Raw genomic sequence first — 22486 nt, 5'->3', positions numbered from 1 at the left:
TCTTCCCTCTTCTGACTGTATGCTTTGTCTTCCAGAATTAGTCTTTTTTCCTATATACATTTTTACCTGTTTTATACCTCTGAGTTCTTGATCAGAGCCTTTGATCATACTGATCATACTGTTTATATTCTGCCTGAAATGCTTTTCCTAGCTTTTTAAAAATCTTGGTGACTTTTTTAATCTTTCAGTACTCAGCTAAAGCATCTTGCCTCATCTCTGGTTTTCTATAAATCCTTGCCTAATTATAAACTCCTCAAGAACAAAGATTATGTTTTATTCATCTCTATATTCTTAGCATTTAGCACTGTGGCTTGCAAATACAAGTGTCTCCCTTTCCACCTCCCCACCCCTACCCACCAAAAACCACAAAATGACTTAATCTTTAAGGATACTTGATTACTCTGTTTGGATTTTAAGAGTTCTATGTGCTTGAACCATAATCACATTTCTTTTGGTGAAGAAAAATAAACCAATGTTTATCTTTAAATTGATTACATTTTTTTTTCCTCTGACCATGCTAGAATGAAAGGTTATAAGCTAAGAAAAACTATTTTCTCAAATACTGGGATTTGTGGAAAACTTATATAACTTGAGAGTAGGGTAAGCACACATAGTTATTACAGACCATCTGGTGTCTGCTTTATTGGAAAGAAGCTTTTACTAAGATTTACTCCTCTCAAATAATTAATTTATTATTTTCAGTGATTGGAGATCAAGTAGGTGAAATCAAAATATAGAAAATTTTGCTAATAATGCCCATTTTGTTGCTTGGTATACTTTTAAATATACTACTTTATTCCAGTATGCATTTGAAGCAAGAAATCCATTTTGTGTTTTCTAATGACTTTAGAATATTTCTGTTTAAGGTAGAGATTTTCTAAATATTTTGATATGAGTTGAAAATAAGTTTTTGTTTACTGTTTTATTTAGAGTTGACAAAAATATTTTGAAGTGTTACTTACAACTAGACAGTATTTGAAACGATTCCTTAATTCCATGGGTTTTTGTTGTTGTTGCTCCATTATGCTTTTAGTATACAGTAGAACTCAAACATTCAAGAAGAATGTTATCTGAGACTCTATAGGTCCCACTATAATTAACTAATCCTCATTTTGTATAGATCTAAAACTTCTATTTTTCTGGTTCAAAGAATCATTGTTTTCTCAAGACCTCCTCACTTTCATGACAAGCACTAATGATTGGCTTTTTGAGAAAGACCATATTTTTATTTTAAAAAAATTGTAAATTTTTACTGCATTATTAAAGACTAGTGTAAAACTATAAAGCTCCATTGCCTTGATGAGTGGGTGACTGGATTCACTAGCTAAATGACTGTAAAACTTTATCATAGTTCTTTATTAATAAAGTTACGAATATCAGGGACCTGTCTATCTTTTATTGTTCAGGAGGTAGAGCAGTGTCTTAGTCTGTTTTCTGTTGCTACAACAGAATACCTGAGATTGAGTGATTTATAAAGCTTATATATTACAGTTCTGGAGGCTGAGAAGTCTGAGGTCTAGGAGCCGCATCTGGTGAGAGCCTTCTTGCGGATAGGGGCTCTGCAGAGTCATGAAGTGGCACAGGCCTCACATGGAGAGAGGCTGCATGAGAGACACCCACACTGGCTCTTATAACAGACTCACTCTTGTAATAGCTAACCCACTCCCTCTATGACCCATTAATCCATTGATTCATGAATGGGTTAATCCATTCATGAGGGTAGAGCCCTCATGACCCAATTACCTCCCAAAGGTCCCACCTCACAGTATTGCTGCACTGGGGACTAAGTTTCCAACACATGAACTTTTGTGGGAACGTTCAAACCACAACAAGCAGTAAAGAGAATGCTGAGAATGGAAACACCCACTGTCTCACACTAGGTGAATCTCCTTAAAGCATGGTTTTCTTGTATTTTTATCCATCTTGAAATTCTTCACTAACTTTTTTGGTGTAGGATAGTCAGTAGACTTAGCACTCTGTGGTTCTACCACAGGTTGCTCTTTACCTACTTTTCCAAACTTTTTATTTGTTCACAAAATAATTGTGTTTACTATGTACTATGCACTGTGCAAAGTTCCCAGGTATGAAGCTAAATAAGAAAGATGTGATTCCTGTCCTCCTAGACTTGCCTCATTGGGATCTAATTAAATGAAAGAGCTTCTGCACTGCAAAAGAAATTATGAACAGAGTAAATAGACAACCTACAGAATGGGAGAAAATATTTGCAAACTCTGTATCTGACAAAGGTTTAATATCCTTTGTTCCTTTGAATCTTCAAGGAAGTTAAACAAATCAATAAGCAAAAAACTAATAACCCTATTAAAAATGAGCAAAAGACAGGACATTTTGCTCATTTCTCAAGAGAAGACGTACAAGAAACCAACAAACATGAAAAACTGCTCCAAATCACTAGTCATCAGAGAAATGCAAATCAAAACCACAATGAGATATCATCTCACACCAGTCAGAATGGCTATTATTAAAAATAAGTAAAAAAACAGCAGACGCTGGCGAGGCTGTGGAGAAAGGGGAACACTCATACACTGTTGGTGGGAATGTAAATTAGTTCAGCCACTGTGGAAAGCAGTTTGAAGATTTCTCAAAGAACTTAAAACAGAACCACCATTCAACCCAGCAATTCCATTACTGGATATATACACAAAAGAAAATAAATCATTCTTCCAAAAAGACACATGCACTCAACATATTCACTGAAGCTCTATTCACAATAGCAAAGACATGGAATCAACCTATGTGCCCATCAGTGGTGGACTGGATAAAGAGAATGTGGTACATATACACCATGGAATACTATGCGGCCATAAAGAAGAATGAAATTATATCCTTTGCAGCAGCATGGATGCGGTTGGAAGCCATTATCCTAAGCGAATTAACACAGGAATAGAAAATCAAATACCACATGTTCTTACCTATAAGTGGGGGGTAAACATTGGATAATTATGGACATAAAGATGGCAACAATAGAAACTGGAGTCTACTAGATGGGGGATGGAGGGACGGGGCAAGGGTTGAAAAACTATTGGGTACTATGCTTAGTACCTGGGTGATGGGATCATTTGTACCCCAGACTTCAACATCACACAATATACCCAGGTAACAAACCTGCACATGTATCCCCTGAATCTAAAATATGAAAAAAAAAATTAGTAATCTTATAAGCTTCAGTACACAAACCAAGTTTTTATTCATACACAAATATACTCCTTGTTCATATACTCACAGGAAATATGATGGTATATTAGACCTTCAGATGGATTTTTGCAATTAGGCGCATCTGGCTATTGAGTAAATGAATCCAGTGCCTTTTTTTGGTTTTTCCCAGATACTGATACAAGTCAGTATTCATAAGGTATATGAAATGAGATAAAATGAGTTTACTGAAGATTAATTCTGAGGCCAAAGTTATTCCTTTACTTTTTAGTGTAGTTTTGGAATTATTTTAGAAGAGATAACATTATTGCTTATATTTTCAGTAGAATAAATATGAGTTCCTGATTCTAGGAATACTTACACGTACAAACACACATATGAAGAATAATCCTACTACTTTTGGTATTAGGGGAAAGGGGCTGGGAAGAATGGTTGCAATATTCCATACTTATCATGGAAAACATATTTTCACTAAGACGGAAATCTTTGAAGCTTCTTTGTTCTGTTTTGCTAGTCATACCTCCATGTATTCATTATTCCTATCTCAAACCACTTTAATTCTTGGCCCAGAAACTACTTTTAATTTAATAGACATGGCAAGTGGCCTGAAAAATAAAAGTAATTCTTTTTTTCCATACCATATTTTAGTGTTACTTGGTTGAAAACTTCGCTTTGTGTGGTCTGATAAATACATTGATATTTAGGTTGAAAATGTACAGTGACTACATTTCAGTAATTTTTTTCACTTACAGGTTTTAGAAGTATTGTTTTTCCTCTGTGCCAGCAGTTATGGTGATTTGTAGTTATGCTATAAAAGCTTAAGGTTTGGTAGTAGAGAAAGAAGGTTTGCAGAGATACCTAAGCCAGTTATTTCAGAACTACAGCTCAATCTTTGACTGGACTTGTGATATTGGGAAAAATTGCCAACAAAAATAACATTGTAGATATTCATCCATGTTTTAGCATTGCTATGTATCACAGTTCCTTTCTAGATTGTCTCTAGTACATAAAAGTATCTTTTTCTTTTTGGCAGGTAATATAACATTACAAAGCGAGATGGGTAACATCACAGTAGGTACGTACTAAGCTACTAGTTCGTGTATTTTGTCCACTTTTAAAAATGGGTATATTTGTGATGACTTTATTAGAATAAATGAATTCTACAGTTTAACTGATGAACTTGACAGGATCACAAGTCAAATATAGGCAGAACCAATGTACTAATTATGTCCACTCGAAGAAAATTGCCTGAGCTGGTATTAAGAAATGTCTTATATTTCTTGCTAAACTTCTCTGAAGAAAAAAAAAAGAAAGAAAAAAAGATCTTACAAATTTCTTGAATTCTTCAAATATCTAAATTAAGTCCTTGAAAGAAAGATATAAATAATGTCACTGTTTATTGGGCTCCAAATGTGTTAACATTTGAAGACAACCTTGTGAATACCAATAACTAGTTAGTCAACATGTATTTATTGAGTACCTGCCATGTATTAAGAATTCTTTTAGGTACTAGGGAACATATTGGTCAACAGGACATAGTTTCTGTGCTCAGAGACTTCACCTTCTCTGAGCCCTGGGAAGAAAGACAACAAGCATATAAATAACAAAAGGTAATTTTAGTTTGTGGTAAGTACAATGAAGAAATAAGAAAGGGTAACTGAATAGAGATTGGGGAAAAAGAAAGCTACTTCAGTTAGGCAATTGGGGGTGGTCTGGAGAGGGTACATTTAAACCAAAGCCAGAAAAATGAGAAAGAGTTATATAAAATTCTGGATACAGGCTCCCTAGATAGAGGAACAGCAAGTGCAGGCCTTGAAAATGGAAGTTTACTATTTTCAAGGGAAAGAAGGCTGGCTTATGAGGAAAGTGGTAGGATATGAGGTAAGTAAGGCTAGATCTTAGGACCTTGTAGACAGGGTAAGAGTTCAGACTTTATTCCAACTACAACAGGATGTTAGGGAAGTGATATATAATTTATATTTTAAAAGAACAATCTAGCTGTTATTTCATAATGTACCAGAAGGGTTCAGAAGTGAAAGCAGGCTATTAGAAGGCTTAATTTGTTCATTCTACTGTTGATGGACACCTGGGCTATTTCTAATTTTTTGGCAACTGTAAATAAAGCTGCTATGAATATATTAATGTAAGTCATTTTATGGATGTATATATATTTTTCCTCTTGGGTAAATACTTAGGTATGGCATTGCTGAGTTGACTAGGTAGGTTCTATGTTTAACTTTATGATAAACTACCAGACCTTTTCCCAGAGTTCCACTTTATACTCTCATCAACAATGTATGAGAATTTCAGTTGCTCCACATCCTCATCAACATTTATTATTGTCAGTTTTAAAATTTTTTTATATCATCATTTGTTGAAAAAACTTCCTTTCTCTGATGGATTACTTTAGCATCCTTGTCTAAAATCAAATGACTATATAAGTGTGGCTCAATGTCTGATCTCTTGTTCCTAATTCATTGATTTATTTGGTGAGCCTTATGCCAGTGCCACAATATCATGATTACTGTAACTTTGGTAAGTCTGTAAATCAGGTAGTTGAAGTCTTCCAAATTTGTTCCTTTTAAGGATTACTTTGGATATAATAGGTCCTTTGATTTTCCAGTCAGTTTCTACCAAAAAATACAGTTTTGATTATGTTTGGGATTGCACTGAATCACATTGTATCTTCCAATTAATGAACATGGTAGGTAGCTCTCTCCATTTATTTAGGTCTTCTTTAATTTTTCTCAGCATTGCTTTGTAAGTTTCAATGTAGAGGTCTGGCACATTTTTTTGTTAAATTCATTTGTGTTTTTAACACTGTTATAAATGAGACAGTTTTTAAGACTTTGCTTCTAATTGTCTACTGCTGATATATGTAAATACAAATGATTTTTATAAATGGACCTTGTATCTTGTGACCTTGCTAAATTTATTCTAATAGCGGTTTTCTCAAATCTAGAATCCTTTTCTAGCTGAGCAGACATTTTCAACTGCAAATAGAGTTTTACCTCTTTCCCTCCTATCTTTATTACTTTTCTTTTTCTTGCCTTATCAGACTAGCTATGAACTTCAGTATAATGTTGAATGTAGTGATGAGAGTGTGATTCCTTGCACTTGATCCCTATCCTTGTCCCCAATATTAGGGGGAATGCATTAAGTGTGATGTTAGCTATAGATTTTTAACAGATGCCTTTTATCAGATTGGGAGAGTAATCTTTTATTCCTTGTTTGCTTAAAAGTTTCTCCTTTTTTACTTTCTTTGATCGTGAATGAGTGTTGAATTTTGTCAAACACATTTCCTGAATTTATTGAAATGATCATTTTTCTTTTATTAATATGACCAACTATACTGACTGATTTTTCTTTTAACATTATTTACTTGTTTATTATTTTAAAAAATAGAGACAAGGTCTCACTTTGTTACCCATACTGGTCTCAAATGCCTGGCTTCAAGCAGTTCTCCTACCTCAGCCTCCTAAAGTGCTGGAATTACAGGCATAAGCCACCACACCTGGCCCTTTCTTTAAAATATCTATCATTTACTCAGTGCCCATGTGCCAAGCACTGAGCTAATCACGTTACAATGTAGATTTATTTTGGTTTCTTTTGTGGTGTGGTTTTTTTTTTGGCTTTTGCTGACTTTATTGAGACATAATTGACAAAACCGTATATATTTAAGGCATACATGCAATATAATGATTTGATATACATATATACTGTGGAATGATTTCCACAGTCCGTTTAGTTAACATATCTGTCACTTCACCTCATTACCATTTTATGTGTATGATGAAAATGTTTAAGATTTACTCTCTTAGCAAATATCAAGTTTACAATACAGTATTGTTAATTACAGTCACTGTGCTATATATTAGATCTACAGGACTTTCTCCCAGATCCATAGAATTTCTCCATTATGTAAACTCCAAAAGAATGAAATTCTGTGGATGAAGCCTTAATTTTACTCTTGATAATTAATTTTAGTTCTGATAATTTGTGTTAAACAAAAAAAATAGGAGGGCTTGTTTTGCTGCATAGTTTTAAAATATCACCTTTGCCTTCTTTCTTGAAAACATCTTGCGTTTTCATTTTTTTATTTTTTAACAGCCTCCAAGGGATGAGCCATCATTAGAGATCAATACAGATAACACGAGGATATAATTACTTTGTGGCCTAGGATATAATTATTTAGCTGTCATTTATTTCTCATTTGGAGGGAAAAATAAATGAAAGTATTATTTATGAGCCACATAAAAATTCTGTGTTTTTTTTCCCTCCTTGAGAAAGCGAGAAATCACACTAATGTTTCAGCTATTTTACTTTGTTCAAACTGGAATAATACACACCTTGTGTATTACGCTTTTCTTTTTTTTAGCATAATGTAATTTTTACTTGGCTTCTTTTAGGATGCGGTAAGAGGTTTAAAAAGGAGTTTCTGTTGGTACGTAAGCAGTGAAATGTTCATTTTGTCCAGTTATTCTGTGTCATTTATCTCTAGTGTTTTCATTTCCCAATGTCAGTGTTAACTTTTGACACTTGAAAACTAAATAAATTGAGTCTGATAAAGGGCATTTTCCAGTATAGATTGGAAATAAATTATTATAAATGATCTTGGAGCCAGATTTTAAAGTTTATTCCAAATTTACTGTCTTTGTTTGAAGTCAGTTAACATTTTTTTAAAAGAAAAATGTTGGCTCCTATATACACACACACACACACACACACACACACACACACACACACACAAATGTTTTCTCTCTCTGTTTTGTAAACAGTATAATTTTTGGCATAGTTTTCACCACACTCCCTACTTTGTTTCCACTTTGAAGTAATAAAACCTCCTGATAAAATATGCTTTTTAAGAGGCCTCTCTAAAAAGAATATGCTTTGGCTTTCTCCAGGCAGTCAGATAGAATATTAAATTAAAGATTCAATTGCCATGGGAGAAAGAGAAGAAGGAAAAACCACTTAGCACTAACTCTTCAAGTTCATTTCCTTACTTCCTTATTTTGACTGTTTTCCCTTGAACTTGAGATACTGGTTGATTCAAAAGTGGGGTCATCGACCACATAGGGAAATTTGAATGACAAATCAGGGTTATCTTAATTATTATTTTCTTATCCTCACTTAAAGATACCTGTTCAATTCCAGAAACTTGAAAAGAACTATTAGATATAAACAAGCTATTCTTCAAATTATTCCACCCTGCCCTTCTGCCCCTTAAAGAAATGCAGCAAGCCAGGAACAGTGGGTTTGTGCCTGTAATCCCAGGAGTATCGCTTGATCCCAGGAGTCAGAGACCAGCCTGGACAACATAGCAAGACCCTGTCTCTAAAAAAAAAAAAAAAAAAAAAAAAAGAAATGCGACAACTTTATGTAGAGTAATCTTTTACTATTAGGAGCACTTCTTAGTATCAGCAAATTTGCTACAAGGAGAAATTATGAGAGGTTTTGATTTTTGTCAGCCTTGCTACTGCTTGTATGTGACTATACATGAGGTAGAATTCTTTGGTAATTATTGAAAGTTTACTAAATGTATCAACATGATAAAAAACTAAATATATCAATGATGCTTAGTGGTCAAAGGAACCATTACTTGCAGACTCTCCTTCCTACTCATAAAGTTTTAGAGTAAATGTTTAGAGATAAGTTATTCAGGTTAATATAGATAAAGATTTTTAAATTAGTTGTTTAATAGATTTCTAGGTTTCTGATAACTGTTTACGTTTAAGTGCAAACAATGGCATTGTTATGAGGAAAATACTAAACCTTGCAAGATTCTTAGCCCCTTATCCTAATGCTAAAGCAGAGCCTTTTATTTCAAGTTTGTAATTCCATTTATCAAGTAAGAGTTATTTTACTTATGGTTTTTTCTTCTTCCTAGATTCGTCTTCTGGATGTCTAAAAGCCTCAACTAATCAGGGTGCCATAGATGTTTATGTCAGCCAACTGGGGAAAGTGGAATTGAAATCCCATAAAGGTTAGTGAACTGGAATGTTTTATTTTGACATATGATGTAAGGAAGGTTTATGTAACACTCAGGAAACAGATGGTCAAATTATCTATACTGACATAGTGATTTCAAGAAAATATCTTCTGATAGAACCTAATTTAAAGGCACTGGTCTGCTAGCTTTCTAGACCAGTGATCTTTACAACTTTTGGGATAGATGGCCATGCAGACTATCTTTCCCTTTGTAGTACAAACAAAAATGTAATATTTTGACTGTTATTATGGAATTTTTAAATGTTACTCTGTGGATTTTTCAGTTTATTCTATTCTGAAATAGAATAATCTTTGAAGGAAAAACACTGCCATACACTCTTTTGGAAGCTTCTCTGCCAGCCTGTAAAAGGAACTTCTCAGGCAATCAGTGTAGAGTAACAGTTTTCAAAGTGTGATCCTTAAATAAAGGTATCACACAGAAAGGTCCTCTAAAGTGATTACTTAGTCTCTTGAAGTATCAAGACTTATGATATGTCTCTATCATTTAACTTCTGACACAACTTATTCTGAGTCCAACTCTTTCATTTAAAATGGTATACTTTTCATCTGAAAGATAAATATGAATTTGTCTGTTCTTCTGCACACATGGATGTACACATATGTGTTGACAAGTGGCTTGGGTGAAGTAGGTTGGCCATAGGGGCTGAAGTGGCTTGGCTGCAGAAAGTTAAGAACTGTAGCTCTGTATAAAAAAATTTTTTAAATAGTCTAGCAGCTCTTGCATGTTGGCCAGATGTTTAACAAGGAAAATATTTCCTCACAGAGACTGATTGTTCCTGCTATTAGTAGTTGCTTTACCATATTGATGTAATAGTTTTTTTTAATCCATCTCTAGAATTTGTCAGTGTCAAAACTGCAAAACACAGAGGTCTGAAACCTCAGTTATTGCTGATGCACCGGTGTGACTTCTCAATATCATATTTTCTCCCTTTAAAATAGGATAAACTTATGTCCTCACTAAATCTAAGAGCTTCAGGTAATACGCTTCAGGGAAAATTATAAATGGCATGTAAGTCATATAACTGTACTCCATTATCACAAAGATCCAAAGAGAAGAAGGATATATTGTTAATATAACTAGTAACAGAGTAAGAACAAAGTTTTGAATAAGCAGCTGTTACATACAAATAATTTAATGTTTTGCACAGTAGGCAAAATAAAACAAACAGAAAACTGTAAAACTTTTGAAGATTGTTAGTCTTTATTCATTTAAAATATTTCTTAGTATTATTTGGAATATTGCTGGAACAATATTGGAATAGTATTTGAAACTATTGAAATAGTATTTGATGTTGCAAAATTTGATTAGGATTACAGTTTTATGTTTTCTTCTACTGGGACCATGTTACTGGCAAAAGCTTAAAGACAACTGAAAACAAAGATTTCTGTCTTACTTCAGATCTCCGAATTCTCAATACACTTGGGAACAGTAACTTTTTAAGAGTAATGGAAAGTTATTCAGTAACTCTTTCTTAATGGTTAGCAAAGACATCCAGAATCCATTCCAACTCTGCCACTGTCTTGCTGTAGGGTTCAGAGCCAGCCACTGGAGTCTCTTAGGTCTTCAACATTTTCTGATGTGGAAAAATATATAATGCTTGTTTTCTTTCACCTTATGAAAATTAATATGGTGACCTTCTTAATTCGTTCCAGGCTATGCTTGGGCCTGGGAGTCACACCTGAATCTGAGTACTGACTTTTCCACTTAACATTTTGTCCTTGGGAAAATCACTAATTTTAACATAATATGCCTTCAATAAATGATGCTGTTAGTTCACATTTGAATTTTTAAGAGGATAGTACTGATGTCAACCATGAAGAAGTTAATGATGTGAAAAGAGGTTAAAGAACACAACAAGAGCCCTCCTTTCTAAAAAAGTGTTAAAGATGGGACATTAGGAAGGTTTTCAAGTCATGAAAATTCTTCATTCACAAACAGTAATGGAGTTTTGGTAGGTGGTTTTTGGCTTTTAAAGATGTGGAGGGAGATGGGGTAGAAATCTTTGCATTGCTTAACATTTCTAAAGATCTGAAAAATTTAAGATCATGTTATGCATTTAAGAACAGAGACAAGTGTTCATAAAGTTAGCACACTTGAAACTTGATACATTTAGACATATCAAGCCCTACAAAAAAGTTTTTTAAATCCATGATTTTCTACTTTTGAAAGTATGTTTGGTAGAAAAACGTGTCCTCTATTTATCCTGAAATCTTCCAGGGTTGTTTTTGTTTTGTTTTTTCCTAAAGCCCTCATATGTTGTTATGGGAATCTCCTGTCTGTAGTTTACATTTGAACCCTGGAAAGAAATTTGGTTTTTTGTTTTTGTTTTTGAGACAGGGTATCACTCTGTCACCCAGGCTGGAGTGCAGCAGCAAGGTCATGGCTCAGTGCAGCCTCATCAGGATCGCCTAAGCTTGGGAGGTCAGCCTTCCAGGTAGATGAGACTACAGTTGTGCACCACCACACCCAGCTTTTTTTTTTTTTTTTTTTTTTTGAGCTGGGGGAGGTAGAAACAGGGTTTCACCATGTTGTCCAGGCTGGTCTCGAACCCTTGAGCTCAAGCAATCCACCTACCTTGGCCTCCCAAAGTGCTGGGATTACAGCCACAAGCCACTGTGCCTGGCTGCAATTTATTTCTTAATAAAATAAACTAGTTCTAGTAATATGCATTGTTCCCTAATTTTTTTTAGAATAGAACAGTTCATCATGTTTATCTCAAACTTCTAGCTCCAGTTAGGAAGACCAAGAAATTACTTAAGGAAGCTTAAGCTGATGTTAGCCAGATTGGAAGGAAAACCACGACCCATAAGTAAATGCATTCTAAACCCCATCCTAACTATCTTTGTCCACAGAGGTGGGGTTAATGCTTTATGGCAGGGGCCTTTTACCTACTTTATTTAATGAAAAACAGGAAGAAAAACTTCTGAAATAGGAGTGTGTTGGTGAATTTACGCTGCAACCCACATAATTCGAAAAATGATTCCATACCTAACAGAGTACTTTTCCTGATTTACTCCTTTAGAAGCTTGAATTACAGCCAGGTTGTATGGAAATACAGGTTGAGTGTCTTACCTTAGGTATCCAAAAGCCTGTAATCTACTCAAAAGAAACATTAGTGAGTTGGAATTCAAATAATCCTTTTCTATTGTTATTTTTTGTTACACACAAGGCACATCTGAAAGCACAAGAGCTCAGTGTTCTAGTTGTGTTATAATAATGAGGTCACAAGTCCTGTACTACGATGAGGTAGGAGTGTGTGAAATACCATGGTGGTTAAAAGCATGGGCTTTGGGGTGGAGCCAAGATGGCCGAATACGAACAGCTCCAGTCTACAGCTGCCAGTGTGAGCGACGCAGAAGACGGGTGATTTCTGCATTTCCCACTGAGGTACCGGGTTCATCTCACTGGGGAGTGTCAGAAAGTGGGTGCAGGACAGTGGGCGCAGCACACCGAGCGTGAGCCGAAGAAGGGCGAGGCATCGCCTCACCCGGGAAGCGCAAGGGGTCAGGGAGTACCCTTTCCTAGTCAAAGAAAGGGGGTGACAGACAGCACTTGGAAAATCGGGTCACTCCCACCCTAATACTGCTCATTTCCAATGGTCTTAGCAAACGGCACACCAGGAGATTATATCCCACGCCTGGCTCTGAGGGTCCTATGCCCACGGAGCCTCGCTCATTGCTAGCACAGCAGTCTGAGATCAAACTGCAAGGCAGCAGCGAGGCTAGGGGAGGGGCGCCAACCATTGCCGAGGCTTGAGTAGGTAAACAAAGTGGCCATGAAGCTCGAACTGGGTGGAGCCCACCGCAGCTCAAGGAGGCCTGCTTGCCTCTGTAGACTCCACATCTGGGGGCAGGGCACAGCCAAACAAAAGGCAGCAGAAAGCTCTGCAAACTTAAATGTCCCTGTCTGACAGGCTTGAAGAGAGTAATGGTTCTCCCAGCACACAGCTGGACATCTGAGAATGGACAGACTGCCTCAAGTGGGTCCCTGACCCCCGAGTAGCCTAACTGGGAGGTATCCCCCAGTACAGGCAGATGGACACCTCACACAGCCAGGTACTCCTCTGAGACAAAACTTCCAGACTAATGATCAGGCAGCAACATCTGCTGTTCACCAATATCCGCTGTTCTGCAGCCTCCGCTGCTGATACCCAGGCAAACGGTCTGGAGTAGACCTCCAGCAAACTCCAACAGACCTGCAGCTGAGGGTCCTGACTGTTAGAAGGAAGACTAACAAACAGAAAGGACATCCACACAAAAACCCCATCTGTACGTCACCATCATCAAAGACCAAAGGTAGATAAAACCACAAAGATGGGGAAAAAAACAGAGCAGAAAAACTGGAAACTCTCAAAATCAGAGCGCCTCTCCTCCTCTAGAGGAACGCGGCTCCTCACCAGTAACGGAACAAAGCTGGATGGAGAATGACTTTGACGAGTTGAGAGAAGAAGGCTTCAGACAATCAAACTACTCTGAGCTAAAGGAGGAAGTTTGAACCCATGGCAAAGAAGTTAAAAACCTTGAAAAAAAATTAGATGAATGGCTAACTAGAATAATCAATGCAGAGAAGTCCTTAAAGGACCTGATGGAGCTGAAAACCAAGGCATGAGAACTATGTGACGAATGCACAAGCCTCAGTAGCTGATTCGATCAACTGGAAGAAAGGGTATCAGTGATGGAAGATGAAATGAATGAAATGAAGCAAGAAGTTTAGAGAAAAAAGAATAAAAAGAAATGAACAAAACCTCTAAGAAATATGGGACTATGTGAAAAGACCAAATCTACATCTGATTGGTGTACCCGAAAGTGATGGGGAGAATGGAACCAAGTTGGAAAACACTCTGCAGGATATTATCCAGGAGAACTTCCCCAGTCTAGCAAGGCAGGCCAACATTCAGATTCAGGAAATACAGAGAATGCCACAAAGATACTCCTCGAGAAGAGCAACTCCAAGACACATAATTGTCAGATTCACCGAAGTTGAAATGAAGGAAAAAATGTTAAGGGCAGCCAGAGAGAAAGGTCGGGTTACCCACAAAGGGAAGCCCATCAGACTAACAGCTGATCTATTGGCAGAAACTCTACAAGCCAGAAGTGAGTGGGGGCCAATATTCAACATTCTTAAAGAAAAGAATTTTCAACCCAGAATTTCATATCCAGCCAAACTAAGCTTCATAAGAGAAGGAGAAATAAAATACTTTACAGACAAGCAAATGCTGAGAGATTTTGTCACCAACAGGCCGCCCCTAAAACAGCTCCTGAAGGAAGCACTAAACATGGAAAGGAACAACCGGTACCAGCCACTGCAAAAACATGCCAAATTGTGAAGACCATCGAGGCTAGGAAGAAACTGCATCAACTAATGAGCAAAATAACCAGCTAACATCATAATGACAGGATCAAATTCACACATAACAATATTAACCTTAAATGTAAATGGGCTAAATGCTCCAATTAAAAGAGACAGACTGGCAAATTGGATAAAGACTCAAGACCCATCAGTGTGCTGTATTCAGGAAACCCATCTCATGTGCAGAGACACACATAGGCTCAAAATAAAGGATGGAGGAAGATCTACCAAGCAAATAGAAAACAAAAAAAGGCAGGGGTTGCAATCCTAGTCTCTGATAAAACAGACTTTAAACCAGCAAAGATCAAAAGAGACAAAGAAGGCCATTACATAATATGGTAAAGGGATCAATTCAACAAGAAGAGATAACTATCGTAAATATATATGCACCCAATACAGGAGCACCCAGATTCATAAAGCAAGTCCTTAGAGACCTACAAAGAGACTTAGACTCCCACACAATAATAATGGGAGACTTTAACACCCTACTGTCAGCATTAGACAGATCAACGAGACAGAAAGTTAACAAGGATATCCAGGAATTGAACTCAGCTCTGCACCAAGCAGACCTAAGAGACATCTACAGAACTCTCCACCCCAAATCAACAGAATATACATTCTTCTCAGCACCACACCGCACTTATTCCAAAATTGACCACTTAGTTGGAAGTAAAGCACTCCTCAGGAAATGTAAAAGAACAGAAATTATAACAAACTGTCTCTCAGACCACAGTGCAATCAAACTAGAACTCAGGATTAAGAAACTCACTCAAAACCACTCAACTACATGGAAACTGAACAACCTGCTCCTGAATGACTACTGGGTACATAACGAAATGAAGGCAGAAATAAAGATGTTCTTTGAAACCAATGAAAACAAAGACACAATATACCAGAATCTCTGGTATGTCAAAGATACCAGAATCTCTGGTATGCTCTGGTATGTCAAAGCAGTGTGTAGAGGGAAATTTATAGCACTAAATGCCCACAAGAGGAAGCAGGAAAGATCTAAAATTGACACCCTAACATCACAATTAAAAGAACTAGAGAAGCAAGAGCAAACACATTCAAAAGCTAGCAGAAGGCAAGAAATAACTAAGATCAGAGCAGAACTGAAGGAAATAGAGACACAAAAAAACCTTCAAAAAATCAATGAATGCAGGAGCTGGTTTTTTGAAAAGATCAACAAAATTGATAGACCACTAGCAAGATTAATTAAGAAGAAAAGAGAGAAGAATCAAATAGACGCAATAAAAAATGACAAAGGGGATATCATCACCGATCCCACAGAAATACAAACTACCATCAGAGAATACTATAAACACCTCTACGGAAATAAACTCGAAAATCTAGAAGAAATGGATAAATTTCTGGACACATACACCCTCCCAAGACTAAACCAGGAAGAAGTTGAATCTCTGAATAGACCAATAACAGGCTCTGAAATTGAGGCAATAATTAATAGCTTACCAACCAAAAAAAGTCCAGGACCAGATGGATTCACAGCCGAATTCTACCAGAGGTACAAGGAGGAGCTGGTACCATTCCTTCTGAAACTATTCCAATCAATAGAAAAAGAGGGAATCCTTCCTAACTCATTTTATGAGGCCAGCATCATCCTGATACCAAAGCCTGGCAGAGACACACAAAAAAAGAGAATTTTAGACCAATATTCCTGATGAACATCGATGCAAAAATCCTCAATAAAATACTGGCAAACCAAATCCAGCAGCACATCAAGAAGCTTATCCACCATGATCAAGTGGGCTTCATCCCTGGGATGCAAGGCTGGTTCAACATATGCAAATCAATAAACATAATCCAGCATATAAACAGAACCAACGACAAAAACCATATGATTATCTCAATAGATGCAGAAAAGGCCTTGACAAAATTCAACAACGCTTCATGCTAAAAACTCTCAATAAATTAGGTATTGATGGGACGTATCTCAAAATAATAAGAGCTATCTACGACAAACCCACAGCCAATATCATACTGAACAGGCAAAAACTGGAAGCATTCCCCTTGAAAACTGGCACAAGACAGGGATGCCCTCTCTCACCACACCTCTTCAACATAGTATTGAAAGTTCTGGCCAGGGCAATCAGGCAGCAGAAGGAAATAAAGGGTATTCAATTAGGAATAGAGGAAGTCAAATTGTCCCTGTTTGCAGATGACATGATTGTATATCTAGAAAACCCCATTGTCTCAGCCCAAAATCTCCTTAAGCTGATAGGCAACTTCAGCAAAGTCTCAGGATACAAAATCAATGTGCAAAAATCACAAGCATTCTTATACACCAATAACAGACAGAGAGCTAAATCATGAGTGAACTCCCATTTACAATTGCTTCAAAGAGAATAAAATACCTAGGAATTCAACTTACAAGGGACGTGAAGGACCTTTTCAAGGAGAACTACAAACCACTGCTCAATGAAATAAAAGAGGATACAAACAAATGGAAGAACATTCCATGCTCATGGGTAGGAAGAATCAATATCGTGAAAATGGCCATACTGCCCAAGGTAATTTATAGATTCAATGCCATCCCCATCAAGCTACCAATTACTTTCTTCACAGAATTGGAAAAAACTACTTTAAAGTTCATATGGAACCAAAAAAGAGCCCGCATCGCCAAGTCAATCCTAAGCCAAAAGAACAAAGCTGGAGGCATCACGCTACCTGACTTCAAACTGTACTACAAGGCTACAGTAACCAAAACAGCATGGTACTGGTACCAAAACAGAGATATAGACCAATGGAACAGAACAGAGCCCTCAGAAATAACGCCGCATATCTACAACCATCTGATCTTTGACAAACCTGACAAAAACAAGCAATGGGGAAAGGATTCCCTATTTAATAAATGGTGCTGGGAAAACTGGCTAGCCATATGTAGAAACCTGAAACTGGATCCCTTCCTTACACCTTATACAAAAATTAATTCAAGATGGATTAAAGACTTAAATGTTAGACCTAAAACCATAAAATCCCTAGAAGAAGACCTAGGCAATACCATTCAGGACATAGGCATGGGCAAGGACTTCATGTCTAAAACACCAAAAGCAATGGCAACAAAAGCCAAAATTGACAAATGGGATCTAATTAAACTAAAGAGCTTCTGCACAGCAAAAGAAACTACCATCAGAGTGAACAGGCAACCTACTGAATGGGAGAAATTTTTTGCAATCTACTCATCTGACAAAGGGCTCATATCCAGAATCTACAATGAACTCAAACAAATTTACAAGAAAAAAACAAACAGCCCCATCAAAAAGTGGACAAAGGATATGAACAGACACTTCTCAAAAGAAGACATTTATGCAGCCAAAAAACACATGAAAAAATGCTCATGATCACTGGCCATCAGAGAAATGCAAATCAAAACCACAATGAGATACCATCTCACACCAGTTAGAATGGCAATCATTAAAAAGTCAGGAAACAACAGGTGCTGGAGAGGATGTGGAGAAATAGGAACACTTTTACACTGTTGGGTGGACTGTAAGCTAATTCAAACATTGTGGAAGTCAGTGTAGCGATTCCTCAGGGATCTTGAACTAGAAATACCATTTGACCCAGCCATCCCATTACTGGGTATATACCCAAAGGATTATAAATCATGCTGCTATAAAGACATGCACACGTATGTTTATCGTGGCACTATTCACAATAGCAAAGACTTGGAACCAACCCAAATGTCCAACAATGATAGACTGGATTAAGAAAATGTGGCACATATACACCATGGAATACTATGCAGCCATAAAAAATGATGAGTTCATGTCCTTCGTAGGGACATGGATGAAGCTGGAAACCATCATTCTCAGCAAACTACTGCAAGGACAAAAAACCAAACACCGCATGTTCTCACTCATAGGTGGGAATTGAACAATGAGAACACATGGACACAGGAAGGGGAACATCACACACCGGGGCCTGTTGTGGGGTCAGGGCAGTGGGGAGTGATAGCATTAGGAGATATACCTAATGTTAAATGACAAGTTAATGGGTGCAGCACACCAACATGGCACATGTATACATATGTAACTAACCTGCACGTTGTGCACATGTACCCTAAAACTTAAAGTATAATAATAAAAAAAAAAGCATGGGCTTTGTAATTATTGAGCTGAGTCTAGGTTCCAGCACGAGCACTAGTGGGAACTTGAGCAAGTTCTTATCTATAAAATCGGGGCGATAATAATACCTCATAAAGTTAATATGGGGATTAAAACATAATGTAATTAGGGGTCTGGCTCATATTAAATGCTCAATGGCAAATCCTATCTATAAGCTACATGTGTAGTAAATTACTCACTTTCTGGTGTTGGATGAGCTGTGTAGGACTATTGGCAAAAGCAGATCTAGTAGTTAATAATGTGCTAATAACCCATATTCTTGACAGAAGTTACTGTGAATGCCGAGAGTAAGGAAACTTTGGGCACCTGGGAATAAGGAAAAGGTTTAAATAAATACTGTATGCTGAGGAGTAAAAACAGTGTCTCAGGAGCAATGCTACCCTGTCAGTCAAATTTATAATAGACTCTGGTACTTTTGATTTCTTTATATTACTAAGCTCTCCATTATATTTATTACAGGTTCTATTATTGTCAAGGTCCCATCTTCACTTCAAGCTCATTTACAGTTATCAGGGAAAGAGGTTGATGTGAACTCAGAAGTCCATGTTCAGGAAATGGCTGAAGCTCGTAAAGATGATGTTGTAACAGTGACTGGTAAGGAGGCTGCATTTTGCTCTGTCAGATGAATAGCCATTCTCCATACATAAGTAGAAATGTGGTACACTTAACGGAAATTTTAGCTTTTTTATATTTTTCCATTATTATGTCCTCATGTTTGACATCTTTTTTTCTTCTAGTTGCTTATCATTAATATGATGCAGACATTTTGTTTAAAAAGACCTCATTAAATCATTTAGGAAGACTCATTAGTCCTGTCATTGGGTAAAATTGATTTTTAAATTTTCTAGAAGAGCTGTTTTCTAATTCTCGAACTTAAACTGAATACATATATTATAGTGCAAAATTTAAAACTAACTTCGTGTGACTGGAGTAAATCGGAATTTTGTTTGGTATGTACATTTTAAACTTGCTCTTTCAGAACAACAAATTCTCAGTAGCACAAATGTGAATCGTTTTTGTACATTTTTCATTATATCTGGCTACAGTGGTGGCTGATACTATTTTTTTAAGGTTTGTCATTGGTTGGTTTTTTTGTTGTTTGAGACAGAGTCTTACTCTATTGCCCATACTGGAGTGCAGTGGCGTGACCTTGGCTCACTGCAACCTCCGCCTCCCGGGTTCAAACGATTCTGTTGCCTCACCCTCCTGAGTAGCTGGGACTACAGGCATGCACCACCATGCCTGGCTAATTTTTTTTGTATTTTTAATAGAGACAGGGTTTTACCATGTTGGCCAGGCTACTCTCAAATTCCTGACCTCAGGTGATCAGCCCACCTCAGCCTCCCAAAGTGCTGGGATTATAGGCATGAGCCACTGCACCTGGCCAAGGTTTGTTGTTTTAATGAATAAAAAAATTAATGCTGGTGAAGTTTTCCTTTAAATTTTACCAGAATGGCATCAAGGAGGACATTGCAATTAGACCGTGTATAGGGATGAATGCTACAAGCTAAATCCATGAGATGCCAACTAGAAAAAGGAAGAATTGGGGAGTAGGGGAGGGTGGTCTTCATAAGATCAAATTTCAGTTTTAGGTATTCATTTTATATGTCGTGAAAATTAAGAAAGTTGTCTGTTAAAATTCATAGAATATTAACAAAAAACATAACAGGAATAAAAATAATACCTATACACTCCCAGATATAACTGCATGCCACTTAATGGGCAAACCCATAGTTAAGTGGCAAAAATTTGATGAAAATCTAAGTACAGTCATGCATCACTTAATGACAGAGATACATTCTGAGAAATGTGTTATTAGGCAATTTTGTTGTCATGTGAACATTATAGAGTGAACTTATACAAACCTAGATGGTACAGCCTACTATACACTGAGGCTGTGTAGTAGCCTATTATTCCTAGGCTACACCCTGTACAGCAGGCTACTGTACTGAAAACTGTAGGGAATTGTAACACAATGGTATTTGTATATCTATATATAGAAAAGGTACAGTAAAAATCTGGTATAAAAGATAAAACATGGTACGCCTGTATAGGGCACTTACCATAAGTGGAGCTTGTAGGACTGGAAGTTGCTCTGAGTGAGTCAGTATGATGAGTGGTGAGTGCATGTGAAGGCCTAGGACATTACTACTATAGACTTTATAAACACTGTACAGTTAGGCTACACTAAATTTATTTTTAAGTTTCTTCAATAATAAATTAGCCTTAGTTTACTGTAACTTTTTTACTTTATTTATTCTAGAGATAGCTGCTTTCTCTGTTGCATAGACTGGAGTGCAATTATAGCTCACTATAAACTCAAACTCTGGGCTCAAGTGATCCTTCTGCCTCAGCCTCCCTAGTAGCTAGGTTGCAGGTGTGCACTACCATGCCCAGCTAATTTTTAAAAAGTTTTTAGCAGAGACAAGGCCTTGCTATGTTTCCCAGGCTTGTCTTCAGCTCCTGGCCTTAAGTGATCCTCCCACCTCAACTTCCCAAAGAACATTTTTACTTTATAAACTTACATTTTAAAAAATTTTTTGAGGCTGGGCACGGTGGCTTACGCCTGTAATCCCAGCACTTTGGGAGGCCGAGGTGGGCAGATCGTTTGAGGTCAGGAGTTCCAGACCAGCGTGACCAACATGGTGAAACCCCCATTTCTACTAAAATACAAAAATTAGCCGGGCGTGGTGGCGGGCGCCTGTAATCTCAGCTACTCAGGAGGCTGAGGAAAAAGAATCCCTTGAAACCAGGAGGCAGAGGGTGCAATGAGCCAATATCGCGCCACTGCCCTCCAGTCTGAGCAAGAGCGAGACTCCCTCTCAGAAAAAAATAAAATAAAATAAAAAACTTTTTGACTCTTTTGTAATAATACTTAGCTTGAAACACAAACACACTTTACAGCTGTAGAGATATACTTGTCTATCTTTATTCTGTAAGCTTTTTTCTGTTTTTAAAATTGTTAATTTTTTTAAATTTTACTTTTTAAACTTTGTTAAAAACGAAGACACAAACACACACATTAGTCTAGGCTTTTACTGGGTAAAGAATGTCAGTATCACTTTCACCTCCACATCTTGTCCCACTGAAAGGCCTTCAGGGGCAATAACACACGTGGAGCTGTCATCTCCTGTGATGATAATGCCTTCTTCTGGAATACTTCCTGAAGGACTTGCCTGAGGCTGTTGTATCGTAACTTTTTTTTTTTTTTTTAATAAGCAGAAGATATACACTCTAACGATAAAAAGTATAGTAAATACATAAATCAGTAACACGGTCATTTATTCTCATTATCAAGTATTATGAACTACACATAACATATGTGCTATACTTTTTTATGACAGTGGAGTGGGTTTGTTTACACCAGCATCACCACAAATGCAGGTAGTGCATTGCATTTAAACAACCATTAGGATGGCTACGAAGTCACTAGGTGATAGGAGTTTTTTACCTCTATTATAATCTTATGGGACAACCATCATTTCTGTAGTTCATCGTTGACTGAAACATAATTATGCAGTGTGTGACTGGGTATCAAATATAGTGAGAATCAACTTGTGATCTAATGCTTGAATTTGATAAGGAGCCAAGAGAGTTACCTATTTTTGGTCCCAATAATCTAAAACAATAATACAAGTTTGTTTAACTGTGCTCTGAATCATAGCATAACCAAAATTATTGGCATATGTAAGCATGTTTGAATTATAAGCTAAAGCTATTTTGTCATATTTTTATTCATTTATTCATGGAATCATATGCCTTTCTAAAATTTAGATTGTTTTAAAACTATTCTCACAACTTCAGTCATTAT

General features: G+C 36.8%; 1 pseudogene across 1 annotated transcript in view; it reads left to right on the top strand.

Moving 5' to 3' along the window:
• FAM185BP (family with sequence similarity 185 member B, pseudogene) overlaps positions 1–21501 on the top strand; it is a 40635-nt pseudogene extending 19134 nt beyond the window's left edge. Inside the window, exons 5-7 of the transcript NR_146190.1 lie at positions 4205–4246; positions 9059–9154; positions 19135–21501. The product of NR_146190.1 is annotated as a family with sequence similarity 185 member B, pseudogene (transcript). The remainder of the gene's footprint in view (positions 1–4204; positions 4247–9058; positions 9155–19134) is intronic.
• The last annotated feature ends 985 nt before the right edge of the window (positions 21502–22486 follow it).

Source organism: Homo sapiens, chromosome 7 (assembly GCF_000001405.40).
Source record: "Homo sapiens chromosome 7, GRCh38.p14 Primary Assembly".
In the NCBI taxonomy this organism is placed as follows: domain Eukaryota; kingdom Metazoa; phylum Chordata; class Mammalia; order Primates; family Hominidae; genus Homo; species Homo sapiens.
This window is presented reverse-complemented; position numbering and strand designations above follow the sequence as displayed.